At 39.0% G+C, this 21,269-nt stretch overlaps 1 pseudogene, besides 1 other annotated feature; it reads right to left on the reverse strand.

The window, feature by feature from the left end:
* On the reverse strand, positions 14,662-15,382 carry PNRC2P2 (PNRC2 pseudogene 2; annotated as a pseudogene).
* Positions 17,625-17,794: an enhancer, noted in NCBI's record as "active region_22889". NCBI's record gives its function as "activates an Ori minimal core promoter by ATAC-STARR-seq in GM12878 lymphoblastoid cells {active_cell/tissue: GM12878}" and the evidence as "EXISTENCE:reporter gene assay evidence [ECO:0000049][PMID:35858748]".

Consider the following 21,269-nt stretch of genomic DNA (forward strand, 5'->3'; position numbering starts at 1 on the left):
CTGCTGATGTGATTGTATATCTAGAAAACTGTAAAGGCTCACCCAGAAAGCTCCTAGATCTGATAAATGAATTCAGTAAAGTCTCAGGATAAAAAACTCAATGTACACAAATTAACTGCACTGCTATACACCAACAACGACCAAGCAGAGAATCAAATCAAGAACTCAATCCCCTTTACAACAGCTGCAAAACAAAAAAACAAACAAACAAACCTTAGAAATATACTTAACCATGGAGGTGAAACATTTCTACAAGGAAAACTACAAAACACTGCTGAAAGAAATCATAGATGACAAACAAATGGAAACATCCAATGCTCATGGATGGGAAGAATCAATATTGTGAAAATGATCATACTGCCAAAGCAAGCTACAGATTCAATGCAATTCTTATCAAAATACCAGCATAAGTCTTCACAGAACTAGAAAAAACATCCTAAAGTTCATATGGAACCAAAAAGGAGCCCACATAACCAAAGCAATACTAAGCAAAAAGAACAAATCTAGAGGTATCACATTACCTGACTTCAAATCATACTACAAGGCTATGGTTACCAAAACAGTGTGACATAAAAATAGGCAAGTAGACCAATAGAACAGAAGAAAGAACCCAGAAATAAAGCCAAATACTTACAGCCAACTGATCTTCAACATAGAATACAAAAACATAAATTGGGGAAAAGACACCCTATTCAATAAAGAGTGATGAGAAAACTGGCAAGCCACACGTAGAAGAATAAAACCAGATCCCCATCTCTCACCTTATACAAAAATCAACTCAAGATGGATCAAAGACTTAAATCTAAGACCTGAAACCATAAAAATTCTAGAAGGTAACATCAGAAAAACTCTTGTGGACATTGGCTTAGGCATGGCTAAGACTCCAAAAGCAAATGCAACAAAAACAAAAATAAATAAATGGAACCTAATTAAACAAAAAGCTTCTGCACAGCAAAAGAAATAATCAGCAGAGTAAACAGACAATCCACAGAGTAGGAGAAAATATTTGCAAGCTATGTATCTAACAAAGGACTAGTATGAAGAATCTACAAAGAATTCAAACAAATCGACAAGAAAAAACAACCCCATCAAAAAGTGGGCAAAGGACATGAATAGACATTTCTCAAAAGAAGATGTACAAACAACTAACAAACACATGAAAAAATGCTCAACATCATTAATCATCAAGGAAATGCAAAATCAAAACCACAATGAGATACCTACCACCTTACTCCTGGAAGAAGGGCCATAGTTAAAAATCAAAAACAATAGCTGTTGGTGTGGATGTTGTGAAAAGGGAACAAGGTTACACTGCCGGTGGGAAAGTTAATTAGTACAACCACTATGGAAAACAGTATGGAGATTCCTTAAAGAACTAGAAGTAGAACTACCATTCGATCCAGCAATTCCACTGCTGGGTATCTACCCAAAGGAAAAGAAGTCATTATACAAAAAAGACACATGCACATGCATGTTTATACCAACACAATTCACACAGCAAAGCTATGGAACCAACCTAAGTGCCCATCGACTACGAGTGGGTAAAAAAAATGTGGCATATATATATATAAAATGTGGCATATATATATATATATATATATATATATATATATATATATAATGAAATACTACTCAGCCATAAAAAACGTCTTTTGCAGCAACTTGAATAGAGCTGGAGGCCATTATTCTAAGTGAAGCAGTAACTCAGGAATGCAAAATTAAATATTGTATGTTCTCACTTGCAAGTGAGAGCTAAGCTATGAGGATGCAAAGGCCTAAAAAAAGATGGTAGGGGAGAGAGGGATAAAATACTATATTTTGGATACAGTATACACAGCTCGGGTGACAAGTGCACTAAAATCTCACTAAAGGTGCACTAAATCACCACGAAAGAACTTAACCAAAAATGACCTGTACTCAGATAACAATTGAAATTTTAAAAATGAAATTTAAAAAAAAGAAGAGTCCAGGCACGATGGCTCATGCCTGTAATCCCAGCACTTTGGGAGGCTGAAGTGGGAGGATTACGAGGTCAGGAGATCAAGATCATCCTGGCCAACATGGTGAAACCCCGTCTCTACTAAAAATACAAAAATTAGCTAGGTGTGGTGGCACATGCCTGTAATCCCAGTTACTCGGAAGGCTGAGGCACAAGAATCGCTTGAACCCAGGAGGCGGAGGTTGCAGTGAGCCGAGATCGCGCCACTGCACTCCAGCCTGGGGACAGAGCGAGACTCTGTCTAAAAAAAAAAAGAAAAGAAAAGAAGGTGACAGTTGTGAGAGTGACCCTACTCTTTTCTATAAGCTTACTAAACAGCAGCCCGAATTCCAGGCCTCTCCCGACTTAAGGGCTGGCACCGGGTGGTCTCAACTGCTCTCGACCCCTGGTCTCAACTCTACTGATTGTCACTTATGAGTAAAGTCCCTAATAAAATAATTGTTAAAACAATGGAAAGTTAAGTTAGATTCTGGGATGCTTTGATGCTGTGGCGACCTTGAGGTTGGAGGGCCCTCTATTGATCCCATACTCATTCAGCAAGAAGAATTAAGGCCAATCTCAGGCCTAGTCTAGGATGTCTGAGGAAAGTATTGATGAGTCAGTCTTTTCATCACCTCATCTGTCGGGATGAATAGCCTGTAAAGATTGTTATTTATGGACAAATTGTATATATGTATATATTTCTAATGGACTTTATTTTTAGAGCAGTTTTAGATTCACAGCAAAATTGAGAGGAAGGTACAGAGATTTCTCATACACCCCCTCCCCTCAAACAAGCACAACCTCCCCCGTTATCAATACCCCCACCAAGGTGGTAAATTTGTTATAGCTGATGAACCTACACTGACACATCATTATCATCCAAAAATCACGCTTTAAGGATTTTTATCTTTATCCTCCGAGTAAAGATATTGAAAAGTGTTCATCAAGAGGGTGCTATCATTAGGTCCGCATTTTAAAGAGTTCAATGATTGCAGAATGAAGAACAGATTAAAGACTAGTGAAATGAGAATAAAAGTAGGGAGACCAATGAGGAATTTGGGGAAGATGATGGTGTCTTGGATCAGGTGGTAGAACAGAGACAGAGAAAACTGGATGTATTCAAGGGCTATTTATGGATTCGACTGTAGCATTTCACAACATACTACTGATCATATAACAAGGGGCTTGCAGTTTTAGTTATAACAATTAAAAAATAAAGTATAATATAATAACATACATGTTTTTTAAGCCATCAAAATGTTGTGGATAGGAAGAAGTCCAAAGGAACCCTATTCCAGGGAGACAAGTGCTTCCTAGAGAATGAAAATCAGTAGGCATTACCTTCGCTAGGGGCAACTACTGAGTCAGGCGTGGGCTGGTGAGGATTGGGCCTGATTCAAGCAGGGAGACTCTTCCTGCATAAGGTGCAGTCAGTGGAGTTTTAAATGTCTGTGTGTGGGTTAGTGAGACCAACTGGAATCTGGAGGAGTTTCAAGGCCAAGTTCTCCCGCCCACCGATTCTCCCTCGGGAGACTTGTGTGAGAGGATGTGGTAGCCCAGTAATCTGAAGGCTGGATAGTAAGTCCCTCCCAGATAGAGGGAGTTCTTGGCAACTCATTGTGCTGAGATCCCAAAGGCTTGCCAAAGGGAGGGACTTGTAATACATACAGGACTGATCTTGCACTGAAGACATTTGAAACCAGAGATAAATTGAAACTATTAGAAGTTGAAGAAAATATGAACAAACTGGATGAAAAGATGGAGAATTTTAACAGAGCTATTATAATTTCCTGACAATTACTAAAATAATATTCTAGAACTGAAAAATAAAATATAGATATTTTATTAAATATCTAAGTTAGTAAATTCATTGACCAACCTCTTCCAAGTCCTCCCTTTCCCCTTTCCTCCCAGCCTCTGGTGGCCACTATTCTACTTTCTACTTCTGTGAAATCAAGTTTAGATTCCACATATGAGTCAGTTCATGCAGTTTCTCTTTCTCTCCCTGGCTTGTCTGAATTTATGCCCTCTCGGTTTATCTATGTTGCCACAAATGACAGGATTTCATTCTGTTTTATAGCTGAATAGTATTCCACTGTATGTATATATGCCACATTTTTTTTATCCACTAATGTGCAGATGAGCATTTAAGTTGATTTCCTAATCTTGGCTATTGTGAGTAATGCTGCAATAAACAGGCAGTGCAAATGTCTCTTCAACATACTGATTTCATTTCCTTTGGATATGTATCCAGTAATGGGATTGCTGGAGATGGTACTTCTATTTTTAATTTTTTGTGAAATCTTTATACTGTTTTCCATAATAACTGTACCAATTTATATTCTCACCAATGATGTATAAAAATCCCCTTTTCTCTGCATCTTCACCAGCATTAGTGACTGTACCAAATAACAATACAGTGCATATTACAAGATCGCTAGAAGATTTTTGAACATTGCCACCACAAAGAAATGATAAATATTTGAGGTGGTTAATATGATAATTACCCCAATTTAATCTTTATACTATGCATATATGCATTAAAATATCAGGTTGTACTACATAAACATACAGTTATTATGTGTCAATTATAAATTTAAAAATTAAAACATTCATTGGATGGATTTAACAGTAGACACAATATAGAAAATAGTTTGAACTAAATAGTAATAGAAATATGATATATCATTATGTGTGGGATGCAACTAAGAAGATATTTAGGAGGTAGAAATAGACTTGGTGATAGTTGAGAGGTGGATAATAAAGTCAACTCCTGGGTTTCTATTTGTAGTACTGGATGGATGATTGTGTGATTGTTATTCACCACGATAAGAAATTGTGTGTGTGTGTGTGTGTGTGTAAGAGAGAAAGAGAGAGGTGTGCACATGCAAATGCAAGGAGGTAATTGAGGATGAAGTGAGGGTAGTTGAGTTTGAAGTGACTTGGTGGTTTCTAAATAGATGTTCCCACTCCCCAGATTGCACTTTTCCTACTTCTGCACTAGACATCAAGACTTGAATTCTTTCTCTTATGGGGAACCTCTTCTGACCACTAACCTTACCCCAGGATGGGTTAAGTGTTCCTATTCGGTGTACTCAAAACATCCTACACATAAGTCTCATAGTAATTTTATATTTTTTATTAAGTTATGTTGTTATAAAACTATTTGTTTATTTATCTCTTACCTTAGAGGTCCTTGGAAAGCAGAAATGCTGTTTCTAGCACAGAGTAAGTGCTCAGTTATAGTTTGTTGAGTAGCACTGGACTGTGAAAATCAAATTGAGGTATTTCCAGACATACTTAGGGCACTCAAAATTTTCACATCTCCTGCTTCTAAGTAAATACTAAACTTGAGAGTTATAGAGTAGAGTTGTTTAGGTGAAAAAAAATACTGAGACAGTATCACAAGATCACAAAATTTTTGCTCCCAAAGAAGCTTACAGTTAGAGTTTCCCAATTATAGTAAAAAGAGAGACAGAGAGAGATATTAATAAGGGATTTATATTGTAGCCTAAATTCTAAACTGCCTACACTTTGAACTTACAGTTGGAAAGGTATGACATCAGACGACCTTGGAGTCAGAGACACTTGGCTTCTAAGCAAAGCTCTGTCACCTGCCAGCTAGGCAGCTTTTGCTTATCTGAGTCTCAGTTTTCTCCTCAGTAAAGAGGAGATGAAACTAATCTTGCCCCACAGGGTTTTTATGAGCAGTGACTCTCTTCTTTTCTCAACTCTGAGAGGTCCAACCCTCCTGGGCAGGGCAGCAATCTGAGAAATAGGTTAGTATATGAAACCGATGCCTGGCCAAGTCACAGAGGTCCCTCTGAGTGAGCCTTTGTCTTTTTCCAGAAAGAACCAATAGAAAATTAGGTTTGCAATGCACACAGAGTCGTCAGACATTCAAGACTGATTGTATTTCTCACAATTATAATTCTCTCTCTTTTTGTTCCTTCTGATTTCACCCAGGTTCCTATCCGATGTCTTCCTGGTAGTGATCAGTACCATGCGATGTCCCAGTTAGCTCTGTACATCCACTTCTTCATATGCCATTCATTGTACTGTGTAGGATGGTCTGGTATCTCAAGTCTTTCTTGATAACTGTACTCTCCTTCCTTGGTGATATCCTTACCTATTCTTGGTATTCTTCCCACTGCAGGCCAACTATATTTCACATCTGTGACACACAAAAAACCAGAGATTGTCTTTCCATTTTGCTCTTGTGGACATCAGTTCTTGTCAACATCAGTTGATCTATGTTATCAGTCCTTGACTTTTGGGGGTTTTTCTCTGTTTATTTGTTTTGTGTAAGACTTTATCCTCAGATTAACTGCTTATTTCTAAAAATACTGTTTAGTTTAAACTCAGTAAGATGCATTTTTACCTAATTTAACTCATGACTTTTCTTCCCAACAATGAAAATTAGACATAGAAAGTGTGAAAACCATAAAACATGAGGTCTGATTCAAGGTAAAGACTTCATACCTGAAAGGTTTTGATGGGAACATACTTTAGTAAATGCTGTTCATTGCTTTATGCTTCCTTAGATATGTACAGTGTATGTTAAAGGTGCAACTGCTGACAAGTGATTTAGTCAGGCTTCTCCTCAAGGCCTCTTCTCGAAGCTTCTAAATTTTGATATATTAGAGACCATCCTCCTGTAGGGTCAGAGAAACAAGAAGGAGAGGTCGGCATTACCAGAATGCAGAAGCCTGGAGAAGAGGCCTTGAGGAGCAGGCACCCCCGTTAGACACAGTGGACCTCTAAAACAAGCGTCCTGTCCAAATGCAAGTGATGGCCCATGGATCTGGTATTTAGAACCCTAAGAAGAGTTGTGCTGCCTGGCTGATATTTGTGCCCGAGAAACTTGGAGGAGGTGCACCATGGAGAAAGAATCCAGATCTCTGAGGAGGTGGCATTGGTAAACTGGTCTTGATACCTCCGAGTGGATGCTATGAGGCTATGAGGTTCTAGTAGTCTAGAATAACTGTGAACTGGAATAAACCATTGCTTCTGGAATAAATTGCTCTTTCTGGATCAGTGCAGTGTTGTTGGGGGCCTGCTGACAGGAACAGGAAGGAAAGAAGAAAGAGAATGTCTCTTCCTGCTCCAGCCTTGCAGTCAGCCTTCAACAATCTCTTATCAGTGGAGTCCGACAGGACATTCCAGAGAACCCCCTGATTTCCTGTCTTCCCTAGCCCTAGGAAAATAGCAGCTATACTTTTCCCCTTGGTAATCAGAAGAAATCAACCAGATAATAGAATAACGTATTTGTCTCCTTTTGCCTGTTGAATCCATGGCACAAGGAGCCTGAAAGATAAGTAGAGTCTCAATTTCCAAGTCAAAGGAATCTTTGATTTTTCCCTGGTAGAAGCATTCCTCCCTTAGTGACCAAGATGTCCAAACTCAAAGAGCTCAAAGTTGAGAAGAAGGGAAACAAGAATTTTGAGAGAGGGTGATTAAATGTAATAGTGAAAGGAATCTCTCCTGGTTCTACCACCTGATTCTCAGATTCACACATTATGTCTATGGGAGAAACAGCATCAAGTATTGGTTGTTGATTCAAAGCATACACTGCCCTTTGTAAAATAATACCCATCCTTGCAGAATATTATCTCTCAACTGGCCTCATAACTGAGTCTTCAGTAAGCTCTTCCACCGTTATATCAGGTCACTTCCTTCTGTAGTATCAAGTTCTTGGTAAGACCAGTGAAATCCATGGGGGTGAGCCCATTGATGCTCTACTTCTGCCATGACATGAGTTTCTTGATTTGAAACAATATTGTGGGTATACCATGGCAATGAATAAAGCAACTCATAAGTTCATCCATAATGGTGCTGACAGACATATTGAAGGCAAGGAATACAAATGTATATCCAGAATATGAGTCTATTCTAGTGAGGACAAATTGCTGTCCTCACTTGTGATAACAAAGGTCCAGTGTAATCAACCTGCCATCAGGTGGCTGGCTGGTTCTCTCAGTGTGGAGGCTGAAGCAACTCCAACTTGAAAGCTAATCTGCTATGTTGGCTTCGATCAACCCCTGTTACAGTGAGGTTTCTAAGATTTCCAGTTATCTATTGTTCCTTGTGTAAGAGCAGGTAATTACCATAAATCCTGCACCTATGTCAAACAACCTTGATGTTATCATACTTGAATTGTCCTACACATGCCTTCTGAATGTGTAGGACACATTCCTTCCCTGTGGTATATAAACCCCTAGGTCTGGTGGGCAATGCATGGGGATCTACCAGCTTGTCTTGCTGCTTCCCAAGACACAGACATGTCTTCTGTTCCTAAGTCCCTATTAAATGTCTTCCTTTCCTTCCTTCTCTCTCTCTTTCTTTCTTTCTTTCCTTTCTTTCTTTCTTTTTTTTTTTCTTTTTGAGACAGGGTCTTATTCTGTCACCCAGGCTGGAGTGCAGTGGCAGGTTAATGGCTCTCTGCAGCTGCGACCTCCCAGGCTCAGGTGACCCTCCCACCTCAGCCTCCTGAGTAGCTAGGACCACAGGCATGCACAAGGATCCCCAGCTAATTTTTTGTATTTTTGTAGAGACAGGGTTTTGCCATGTTTCCCAGGTTGGTCTTGAACTCCTGGGCTTGGGTGATCCGCTCAGCTCTGCCTTCCAAAGTGCTAGGATGGCAGGCATGACCCACTGCACCTAGACAAATGCTTCTTTCTGAGAAACTGTATTTGTCAGCCCCTTTCTTTGGTCTCTCAGCTTCCTCACACTTTACAGTAGGTTTGCATAGACCTGCCCACCACAAAACAGTGAAGAAGGGCTGGAATATCAGGGGTTCAGCATTAGTCTGTCTTGTGCATAGGAAATGCACTCAGCAGTAGACAGACCAACTTATGCACTTTTTTTAAAAAAGGCTATGCATTACCTTCATCATTGCCACCATACCTATTTTGTATATGGACATTTCATGCAAGCACCAGGGTGTCTAGGGAAAGAGGCCTACTGATATCTACAAAATGTGTCATCTTGTCCACTTGATTATTGGAAGCTTCCTATGCAGAGGATGCCCTTTGGTGACACTCAGATGGAACACAAATACCCTCAACACTGATCCATTCTGAGAGTCACTGCTCTCAATTTATGCAATGATAAAAATTCACATATATTGTCTGCTTTAAAAAGCCCAGCATCAGAATTAGCCAAATGGATGAAGTCCAGGGGAGCTCTTGTCTGTGTATAGATGCAGTAGCTTTAAGCATTACTTCAGTTTTTAATTAATCCATGGTACTGCATATGCAATGTTCATGGGTTTCATTGATTGTTATCAGAATGGAGGAAGGTAGGATAATCATATTATATCAGAGACCTCAACCTCTCACATGTATAAAAGCCTTGACAGGAGCTATTAGAAAATGAATAGGACTTTATAACTTTAAAGGTATCTCAAATCTGCTAACATGCCCAACTTCCTCCTCTGACAGCTGACTAGTGTGATGATATATTTCTCCATCCTTGCTGTAATGCTGAGGACCCATGCAGTAAGCAACCACTTCCTACCTTGACTCTACCCTTCTCCTACGCCAGCAAAAGTACCATATCCCAGTACTACCATTCGATGAAGAGTCATACACTTCTAATGGGAAACAATAATTTAGCAGTACTTAAAAATCATTCAAATGTTTGAATTTCTTATTCTTCCCTAATGCTTGCAAAGATTTTGATATTTTCTACATAGTTATGATATTAGAGAAGCAAGTCACCTGATAGAATGGTAAAATAATTTACTGACAACTCCATTATGTTTCTGAGGAAGTCTTTACCTTAAAAGGAAATCAAAATTGTCCTTCCACATATGTGTTAGGCAAGCAGATCTCTAAGAACAAGTTAAGAAATAATCTTATCTCACAATTTACATTTATTTGATCTCATTTGGTCATTCCAAAAAAATTATCTCATTGAATTCTCCAATTACTTCAGAGAAGTGAAGTAGTTTGAAGGTGGTTTGGCCAAGATGTCTATCTAGTTATTGGTAGACAGACTTTCTGACTCCAAAGCCCATTCCACTTAAGGAAACTGGTACAGTATCATTAATAATAAACAAGACTATTTTTGAACATCATATAAACACTGGAGTATCCCATCTGGGGTTATTTAGTACTGGCAGGCTCTTCTTCTTCTCACTGGGGTAAGGTCTGTACTTGCACAGATAAATAAAATGTCCTATTAATTTTCTCATTAACTGGAGAACCCTTTTGCTGACACGTTACCTTCATAGAAAAGACTGTGAAAAATTCGCATCCAATTGCCTTCTAGACCTGTTCGTTTTGGAAGTGTATCAAAGAGCCTGGCTAATGGAGAGCAAGACTCATTAATTACTGGCTTTGATCTCCTATAGTGCCCAACACTCCTTACTATATTCAGGAATATTGAATTCTTTGGAAAATGACTTCCTGAGACCTATTCTTCACATTACTTCCAATGGAAAAAAATTGCAGCCAGCCAGAAATGGATTATTTGGCTACAGTCTGCTCAGTTTTCAAGAAGGTAATTGAAACTTCAGGATCCTTAACTTAGGGAAAGTGTTGGCAAGTCTGTCACCCACATCTGTGATAGCCCTTTATTTTCCTTTCTAACTTTTCTTCTTGAAGTTTAATTTACAAATATCACAATGTAATATTAAGTGTTCAGGTCAACAAAATTTGACAATGGTAAATATTCATGAAACTATCAAAGCATTTCCATCACCCCAGTATGTTCTCTTTTGCCCCTTTCTGGTCAGTTCCCCTACCCTCCACATACTCACCTCAGAAACAACCACTGCGTGGATTTTTTTAACTGCAGATTACTGTTGGCTGTTCTTGGACTTCATGTACATAACATTATATGGTGTGTAGTTTTTTTGTGTCTAGCTTTTTTCATTCAACATAATGTTTTCAGGTTCATCTATGTTGTTGTGTGTATTAGTAGTTGTATTAGTTTGTTCTCATATTGCTATAAAGAAATACCTTAGGGCCGGGCGCGGTGGCTCACGCCTGTAATACCAGCACTTTGGGAAGCCGAGGCGGGCGGATCACGAGGTCGGGAGATCGAGACCATCCTGGCTAACACGGTGAAACCCTGTCTCTACTAAAAATACAAAAAATTAGCTGGGCGTGGTGGCTGGCACCTGTAGTCCCAGCTACTTGGGAGGCTGAAGCAGGAGAATGGCATGAACCACAGCTGCTCATCAGGTTACCTGGCAAGTGACACTGTGGGTGGGGGGAGTTGTCCCTGGAATAGCTTGCCTGATGGTGTGCTTACAGGCTATCATGCATCAAAGTATTTCCTACATGCCACCAGAAACTGAGAGAAAGAATATTTCAAAAGCTTGGAACTACAAGCACATACTTCAGACAATTAATTTTATCTTTGTATTCCTTTGTAATGCCTTACATCTTTTATTAGCCTTTCTCTACAAATCATGTTGTGTAATTCTTAAGTCATCAGTAGTAATGACATTTATCTTCCTTTTGTAGGTTTAGACCTGCAAGTTTCAAACTGTAGGTTTTACGTCCTTTGCTTTCCCTTTCTTTCCTTCTTCCCTTTTTATGTCACCCTTTTTCTTTCTCTCTTTCCCTTCCTTCCTTCCTCCTTTCTTTCCTTCTTTCTCTTTCGTTTTCTTTCTTTCTTTTTCATTTCTTCCTCTCTTCTCTATTTTCTTCCTCTCTTTCTCCCATTATTTTCATTCTTTCTTTCCTTCCTTTCTTTTTCTTTTCTTTTCTTTTCCTTCCTTCCTTCTTTCTTTCCTTCCTTCCTTCCTTCTCTTTCTCTTTCTCTCCTCCTTCTCTTTATTTCTGTTGGCTTTCCTTGCTGCTCTTTCTACATGGTTGATTTTTAAATGTTTTAAGGTGGTTTGATGGGATAAGTAAGTATAGCAAAATAGTATTTATGAAAATAGGTGAAAAAGAAAAATGGAAATCATGAGTGGAAAGATAAGCTGTAACTAGGAATGGGGCTGTTACAATACTGCACATCACAGAGACTTCCTGGCTAAAGACGAGCTCCAAACTTAGTTCTAAGCCATCTTGCAGTTAACATAAAAAGGGAAAACTGATCAGTCACCATATCCCCAGCTCTTGAGCACATTGCTGATTTTAACAAAATTGGGATTCCATTAATAAGAAATAAAAGGAGAAAGTTTATTGGGTAAAAAACTAGTGGCTTCTACCACATTCTACCCCTTTGGCTTTGTAATATTCATACACACTCTTCCTCTCATAAATAGACTACCTTCTCCAGCTTCTCCCTGAGAAATACCACACCATTGTCTCATCCAGTTATTTCATTCACTTCAAAGATAGGATCTTTTGTAATGTGCTTTCTGATTTTCATCAGGTCTCGAAGTGGCTCCTCATTATCTGTCGAGCAATAAGGTTAAAGGGAGGTTATAAGTCTTTGTTTGAAAAAAGGAAGAACAAGAAACATAGCAGGCACTGGCCCACATTAGCACATATCAACCAATTATTGCCAGGCAGGAACAATAAGGACTCCCTACTCTAGCAGTGAAATAAATTTCTTGGCTAGCCAAATTTGCTAGGGTCCTGTTGTTTATTACTCTCTGTGGCCACTCAAAAAGAGACACGGAGAGGATAACCTTTCAGGACTGCACAGCTTCCACAACTCATTTCTGTGGGTGAAATGTGGGGGCTCCGTTATTTCTTTATTAATTGATTAATCATTTGATGTTGGATATTTCTTTTTTTGGGGGGTAAAACAATTTTATTATTTTAATTTTATGCTTCAAATTCATGTTATGTACATTAAGTATCATATAAACTTGTCTTTAGGATATTAATATTTTACTTGGGCAATATTATTTTATCTGAATGTATTCGGAGAAATACAACTTAGCCGTCTGCTCATAAACATCACAAAAGATGAAAAATTGGAAAACAGAACATTAACAATTGGAAATATTAAATTGACCCTCACACCTTTTTTCTTTTAACTTGCTATTTGGTTAACTTATATTTAGCATTTACCCTTGAGATTGGTAAAACATGTTATCAATGTATTATGCAAGAGTTTATATCTTTTGCATAAGTGGCCCCCTGGGTTACCCTTACTCTTGACCAAATAAAAAACAAACACCACTGGCACCGTATATAAACTATCTTTGTATCATAGGTTGCAAGTCTTGATAAAAGCCAAAACAAATATTTGAGGTTGGAGGTACCACTTAGTAGTTCTTCTCTGGGCTTAGAGAAGGAAAAAGAATAGTCCCCTGCTGCATTTTATATCTCTTAAAAACAATGGTTCAGCAGCCTAAACCTTTTTGGTTATAAAGCTTATTACACTAGGGTTTACTTTGAAATATAGTTTACAACCAAATCAAGTATAACATACATACACTGGTAGTTCAGCACAAGGGCAAACTTAAAAAAATATTATTTTGGGCCTTTAAAATTAGGCCATAGTATAAAAAACGGTCCATAATCTTACATTCAGAAAATTCATATTAAATATTTAATTTCTGTAGGATAAAGGCCAAGAGAATTTTACACATGCATCAGTTTATTACACGTATTTACATGCCTCTTTCTTCCCTAGGTACTTACGACTTTCATATTATGGAACTGCCCCAAGCAAGTTTCCTCTCTCCAAAGCATGTTTTGCAGGAATGATGACTCCAGATCACTTTCAGAATAGGTTGTGCAGTGCTGTAAGACAAAAATATATTTTGAAAGCTATTGAGTGACCATTAAATACTGTTTATATAAAAGATGGTTTTGGTATATTGTTGTCAGACCCTTACTGACTACATTTAAGAAACAGGGCCATTGGAGTATACTATGCCTCATTCTAACGAGTCCCAAGTGCCCTTTCCACCTTCACCACTGTACAATTGACTGAAATGCAACTATTAAAAACATTCACGTTTTCCTTTAGCAGTGCATCTGGTTGTTGGCTTATTCCTAGTTTGGGTGTTTCTAGAGACTAAACTTTCAGTTGTTTACCTAGTCCTCAGTCCTTGTATGTTTTAGATAAATGTTTATAATCTGATTCACTAACTTTCAAAATCTACTGATCCATGAATGATAAACTTAAATCACCATTTTCCCCGAACAAGCAAAAGAACAAGTTGATTCCTTTACCACTCCCCACATCTAAACTTGAATGGTTTCACTTAAAAGTTACTCAGTTGAGAACACTTAATATCAAGTACAATTATTAATTTAATTACTTTAAGTTGCACTGATGCTACATTACATCACAATGCACATAAAACAAATGAGGTGAAGTCTAATTATATGTTTTACATTAATTAGCAATTCTACACTAATAGATTAATTCCCTGGTGAATTTGTTTCAGACCAACTGACAATTATCTGTAAACACAACTAATTTTTTTTTTTTTTTGATGGAGTTTCACTCCTGTTGCCCAGGCTGGAGTGCAATGGCACGATCTCGGCTCATCGCAAACTCCACCTCCCGGATTCAAGCAATTCTCCTGCCTCAGCCTCCCGAGTAGCTAGGATTACACGTATGCACCACCACGCCCGGCTAATTTTGTACTTTTAACAGAGATGGGATTTCTCCGTGTTGGTTAGGCTGGTCTCAAACTGCCGACCTCAGGTGATCCGCCCACCTCGGCCTCCCACAGTGCTGGGATTATAAGTGTGAGCCACCGCGCCCAGCAACACAACTAAATTTAAACATCAGTACTTTATCTTATTTTATACCTGTACTTTAAGTAAGGTTTTAATTTGAAATATCATTATTTCCTTATCTGAAGGAATAAAGGAAACAGGAACCCAGTGGAAGGATAGTTTGGGAAGAACTCTTCGTGATGGCAGCTCAATCAATTTGGCTCCAGTATAGTTGTGATTCGCTTGAGATTTAAAAAGTAAGCTGGGGCCCAGGCGCGGTGGCTCATACCTGTAATCCCAGCACTTTGAGACGCCAAAGCAGGCGGACCGCTTCAGGTCAGGAGTTCAAGACCAGGCTGGCCAATATGGTGAAACCATGTCTATTAAAAATACCAAAAGTGTCCAGGCATGGTGGCAGGCACTTGTAGTCCCAGCTACTCAGGAGGCTGAGGCAGGAGAATCTCTTGAACCTGAGAGGCGGAGGTTGAAGTGAGCCGAGTTGGCACCAGTGCACTCCAGTGTGGGCGATAGTGTGAGACCCTGTCTCAAAAAAAAAAAAAAAAAAAAAGTAAGCTGGGACCTGATAAGCTAGAGCTCCAATTTTGATTATTTGGGAAATTTTTATTCTTCCCCCCATTTTGCATGACCTGTTATGCAGCTGCTAATTAATTCCACCCACATCCTCTTTCTTTTTTCTTATGAACCATCTTCTGGGAATTCTGATCCTTGGTCTTCTATTAAGTTGCTTTTGGTTCTTACTAATATTTCTAGATTGAGGGGCTAGAATGTTATACCTGTCTCCACCACCCATCTTCAGCTTTTTTGTCACTTTTCGGTCAGCTTTTTAGAGAGCAGGGTTTCCAATACCTGTCCTCTTCCTTGCTGCCAAGCTCAAGATAATAGATGTTACTTTCTGATGGATCCTTTCCTTTGTCTCAGTATAGAAGTTCTCATAGGTCGATCTGCTAAATGCAGCCTAGGAGCTGAGGCCAATATCTGAGTTTCCTCAGTACACAAGTCTGAGATAAGTCCTAGCAACCTCAAGCTCAGAACTATGGCGGCAGCAGCTCCCTCTCCATGTCAAAGCCTTCCTGCCTTTCCAGGGAGAGGCATGGACCAAAGCCCATGGGCACTGAGGAGTGAACTGCTGCCCACCCTGGTGTGTGCAACCCTACCTCCTCCTTCTGCCTCTACTGACCTGATATTTCTTTAGAAATACAGTTCTTTCTGAAATTTTGTAGCCTTTCAGTCTATTCAATGCCACATGTGAGAAACCATAGCCAAAGATAGTATGGACTCATAATATTAATGTCTGAGAAATATTGTTTCCTGGTCACAGGTCTTCATTTTTCACACATAGTCTTTCCTTTTACCTTCTGTCATCAGCAATGTGAAATCACACATTTGGAGGAAAAGCAACACCCTTTAATCTCTATTTACCAGCAGGTGTGCCTCTTTTGTCCAGCAGAGACCTGGAAGAGAGAGCTGGGAACCCAATACCAGCCCCTGCTAGGGCTGCTGCTTCAGCTCTGACGTGAAAGGCTTCAGTTTAAGGTAGGAAAGCAATGTGTTTTCTTCACAAAGCTGGTAGACTCTTATCATATAGGCTTCTCAGACATCTTAGATTGCAGGCCACAGGCCCACACCTGCTCTCTTAGCTGTCAGAATGACTAGCTTTAGTATGAATTCATTTCTTTCAAGTAGGACTTTGCAAAACTCAGCAATAAGAAACACGCACATTTTAAATTTTTCTATTACTTCCCTTGATGCTGCAGCTACAATAAGCACAAAAATATAAATATTTAATAACCACATTAAAAAGGTCATCAACTTCGCAGCTTGTAATGGGTGAGACCTGTCTACTTCTCTACCTTGTATTCCTGGAGATTTCACATTTTTATTCCTTTTACTTGCAATATCCCACTTTCAGGTACCCCATTTTGCATCAGAGGAGAGGGTGCAGGCAAGCAGTAGAAAACCCACTACAGTGGCTTAACCAGATGAGGTTTTTTTTAGTCTGTGTAGGCTGCTGTAACTAAATACTCTAGACTGGGTGACTTACACAACAGAAATTTATTTCCCACCGTTCTGGAGGCTAGGGAGTCTAAGATTAAGGCGCTGCTCTTTTCAGTTCCTCAGATCTCTTTTTCTTCTTCTAAGACCACCAGTCTGATCAGATTAGGTCCCACCCCTATGACCCATTTAACCTTAAATACTTCCAAAAGGACCTATCTTCAGTCACATGAGGGGTTAAGACTCCACATAAATTTTGTGGGGACAAAATTCAGTCTATAATGGCTTTCTTTAGGCAGACAGAGAGTCCAGAGCTAGGGTAGTAAGTCCATGAAGCCATTGCTGTTCCAGGCTCCATCTGCCTCCCTACCTTCCTGTCTTTAGCATGTAGCTTCTGTTCTAATGGCCACAGGATGCCTATTTTACATTTGCCCACGTTACTGGTAGAAAGTATGAAGAAGAATTGCATGTTTATCAGGAAGCAAAACTTTTCCCCAGAAATTCCCAGCAGACTGTTGTTATCGACATTCCATTGATGAGAACTGTTTCATGCAGAGGCCCGTAACTGAAGGGCATGGGGTGCTAGTTGAGTTTTGTAGCTTGGGACAATTTTTCTTGGAACAAAATTTGAATGCTGTTAGTAAAGGGGAAGAGGCTAATAGATATTGGGAAGATAAATCTCAGGGTTTGTTATAGGGTTCCTCCAGATAGGCTGATTATAACACTCACAAGCATTATTCAGTACAATTAAAATAAATCAGGAGCGGGGAAGGCTCCTAATATTCTGGATTTATAAGTCTTTGAAATTTTAGTTTAATCCACAGAATTCTTTTAAAGTTTCCTCCAAAACATTTTTTTTCTGTATTTCTATTCTCCACAAATATTTTTTTCTGCATCAGAACACAATTTGATTGAACACTAACTCTGATATTCAGAGACAGCATCAGATTTTGGTCACTAGTACTAGTCTTTATGTAAGAACCAAGATTCCTTGGAGGATAGCGGAATCCACGTATTGGACCCAGAAAAATTATGTTTCGCTGAAGTGAATGATAAACCGCTTCTGGGCAGAAGCACTCTTACTCTCTCGGAGTCCTCAGCATCTCAGGAATGAGCTGCAATACCACATTGTGCCAGTAGATGACGACACCATCTAACATGTGAGGACTCCTTACCCGAAATCCCTTAAATTTCAAGCATCGAATTAGAAATTATTTTCTGTTATCAAGTATGTTAGTTTGACTTCCTACCAGTTGATTTTAGAAATGAGAAACATATATTGAAATAGTAACATTAAATATCAGAATTTGGTGTGTATTTGTCTTTCAATTAGTGGTAATTTCTGCAAAATGAAAATCATCTTCAAGGCAATGCAAATGATTTATTATAGGCGAGCACAAGTTTCCAGGTGAACCAACTGTTTTGTGAAGGAGCCAGAGGAAAACTGATTAGATGAGTTTAACTGTTGTGGCCACAAAGTCTTATGGCAGCCACTGGTTTTCAATCTTGACTGAATATTGAAATATATTTGTACTAACTGCCCAGATTATATTGAAATAATGTAGGCAGTTAAAAAAATACCTGTCTGGTTCTTAACTCAAAAAACGCTCATTTAATTGGTCTACAGTACGGTCTGAGAGTCAAGCCTTTTAAACGCTTCCCAGGTGATTCTATTTTGCAGCCCATATTGAGAACACCTGCCCTTGGCTTAAGGCTCCCATCACCCCATGTTGCAATTAGTTGCTTAAACGGGCCGATCTCACCCAAATACAGAGTTGGTGATTATCTACCAGGTGTAATCTGTGAAACTAGGAAGGCCCCTGCTCCTCCTTAGGAAAAAAACCATGGTGTCTGCACATCTACCATCATGAATGCATTTCTTCGTTGCACAGATAGATGGTAAAACAAACCAATCACAAACTAACAGAAAAATTCAGGAGAATCACACTCTGAGCTTTATTCAACATTGCTATTAATTTGTTTTAATTGTGTTTCAATGAATGTTCTTTGTGTGAAAGGGACATAAGGGAAGAGAGTTTTGGAGTTTGACCATGTCGAGGAAGAAGTGAGCAAATGCTAAAGATTTGGGCATGGCTCGAAGAGGATAGGCTCAGTAGGACCCAAAGATCAAGTTGTGGGGCCACTGGGGAGCTCAACAGACAGAATACGTTACAGAACACAGGGAGACAATATAATCACTTCTTTAGTTAATCCTCAAAACAGCCCTACAAGAGAATACTAGCATTCTTTCTTTCTTTTTTTTTTTAATTTTACTTTAAGTTCTGGGATACATGTGCAGAATGTGCAGGTTTGTTACACAGGTATACATTTGCTGCACCTATCAACCCATCATCTAGGTTTTAAGCCCCGCATGCATCAGATATTTGTCTTAATGCTCTCTCTCCCCTTGCCCCCCACTCCTCGACAGGCCCCGGTGTGTGGTGTGTGATGTTCTCCTCCCTGTGTCCATGTGTTCTCATTGTTCAGCTCCCAATGAGTGAGAACATGTGGTGTTTGGTTTTCTGTTCCTGTGTTGGTTTGCTGAGAATGATGGCTCCCAGCTTCATCCATGTCCCTGCAAAGGACGTTAACTCATTCTTTTTATGGCTGCATGGAATACATATAGTATTCCATGGTGTATATGTGAAATACTGGCATTATGTCTACATCACATATAAGGCAACCCAAAAAACAAGAGTGTGTTTCAATAACTTGGCCAAGGTCACTGTACTAGTCCATTTTTATGCTGCTATAAAGAACTGCCTGAGACTGGGTAAATCATAAACGAAAGAGGTTTAATTGACTCACAGCTCCAAAGAGCTGTAGAGGCCTCAGAAAATTTACATCAGGGCAGAAGGAAAAAGCAAACACGTCCTTATTCACATGGTGGCAGTAAAGAGAAGAATGAGAACTGAGTGAAGGGGGAAGACCCTTATATATCCATCAGATCTTATGGGAACTTACTATCACAAGAACGGCATGGGGGAAACCGCCTCCGTGATTCAATTACCTTCCACTTGGTCCCTCACATCGCACGTGGGGATTACAGAAACTATAAAATGAGATTTGGCTGGGGACGCAGACAATCCATATCAATCGCTTAACTGGTAAGTGGCAGAGCTGCACCATTTGGGGTTCCAACCAATGCATTTCACCCTTCTCATTCATGTTTGCTGCCCTTATGAACTGAATGCCTCCAAGTCCGTTAGCTATATTTCCTTATTTATTATTTGGAAATGTTAATGCCCCTACATCTTAGAGTTGTACTGAGAAATACAAGGTACAACATATTTAAAAGTGCTCAGAGCACAGCACGAAGGTCACACTGTTTAGATCCCAGTGCGGTGCGTCCTGTTATTATCTTTCTGACACTTAGACATTACTGCCTCTCTAGACTCATTGCTATGATCTGAATATTTTGTCTTCCCAAAATACATATGTGAAATCTTTATTTTATTTTATTTTATTTTATTTTACCTTTTCTATGTTTAGATATTTAAAAAAAATTTTCCATAAGACATTGGGGTACAGATGGTATTTGGTTACAGGAGTAAGTTCTTTAGTGGTGATTTGTGAGATTTTGGTGCACCCATCACACAAGCAGTACACACTGCACTTTATTTGTAGTCTTGTATGCTTCGTCCCTCTCCCACTCTTCCTCCCAAGTTTCCAATGTCCATTGTATCATTCTTATGACTTTGCATCCTCATAGCTTGACTCCCACATATCAGTGAGAACATGCGATGTTTGGTTTTCCATTCCTGTGTTACTTCACTTAGAATACATATGTTGATATCTTAATCCTCAAAGTTATGGTATTAGGAGCTGGAGCCTTTGGGAGATGACTAGGTCCTTAGTGCAGAGCACCCTCATCAATGGAATTAGTGCCTTTATAAAAGAGGCCCCAGAAAAGCAAAATGGGTAACTGAGATGATGAATATGTTGATACATTCATCTGTTCCCTGTAGTAACCATCTTACTATATATGTATCCTACAACATCATGTTGTATGACTTAAATGTGCACAATAAAATTGTTTTTTTAAAAAAGAAATAGTTCCATTCAAATAAATAATTTGTATTAAGTAAATATAAAAGGCCTCAGAGAGCTGCTTTGTTCCTTTCGCCATTTGAGGACATAGCTAGAAGGTGCTGTCTATGAATTAGAAAGCCCTTACCAGACACTGAATCTGTTGACACCTTGATCTTAGACTTCCCAGCTTCTAAAACCATGAGAAACTAATTTCTATTGTTTATAAGCCACCCAGTTTATTTTGTTATAGCAGCCTGCACATACTAAGACACCCAGAAAACCTCCAAAAATTTTAAACCACTTAAATAATATGATTATTTAAACAAAGAAAAGCATGAGCAAAAAGTCTGAAAATTTTATTCATTCACTTATTAGGCAAACATTTAATAAAAATCTGATATATACTAGCTATTGCAGTAAGGATACAGAGTTAAAAGAGTCATAGATTCCACCTGATATGGTTCAGCTGTGTCCCCACCCGAATCTCATCTTGAATTGCAATTCTCATAGTCCCCATGTGTCAGGGGAGGAACCCAGTGGAAGGTAATTGAATCATGGAAGTGCTTACCCCCATACTTCTGTTTTCATGATAGTGAATGAGTTCTCACAAGATCTGAATGGTTTTAAAGGGACTTTACCCCGCTTTACTTGGC

The sequence above is a fragment of the Homo sapiens genome, chromosome 5 (genome assembly GCF_000001405.40).
Source record: "Homo sapiens chromosome 5, GRCh38.p14 Primary Assembly".
Taxonomy (NCBI): Eukaryota; Metazoa; Chordata; class Mammalia; order Primates; family Hominidae; genus Homo; species Homo sapiens.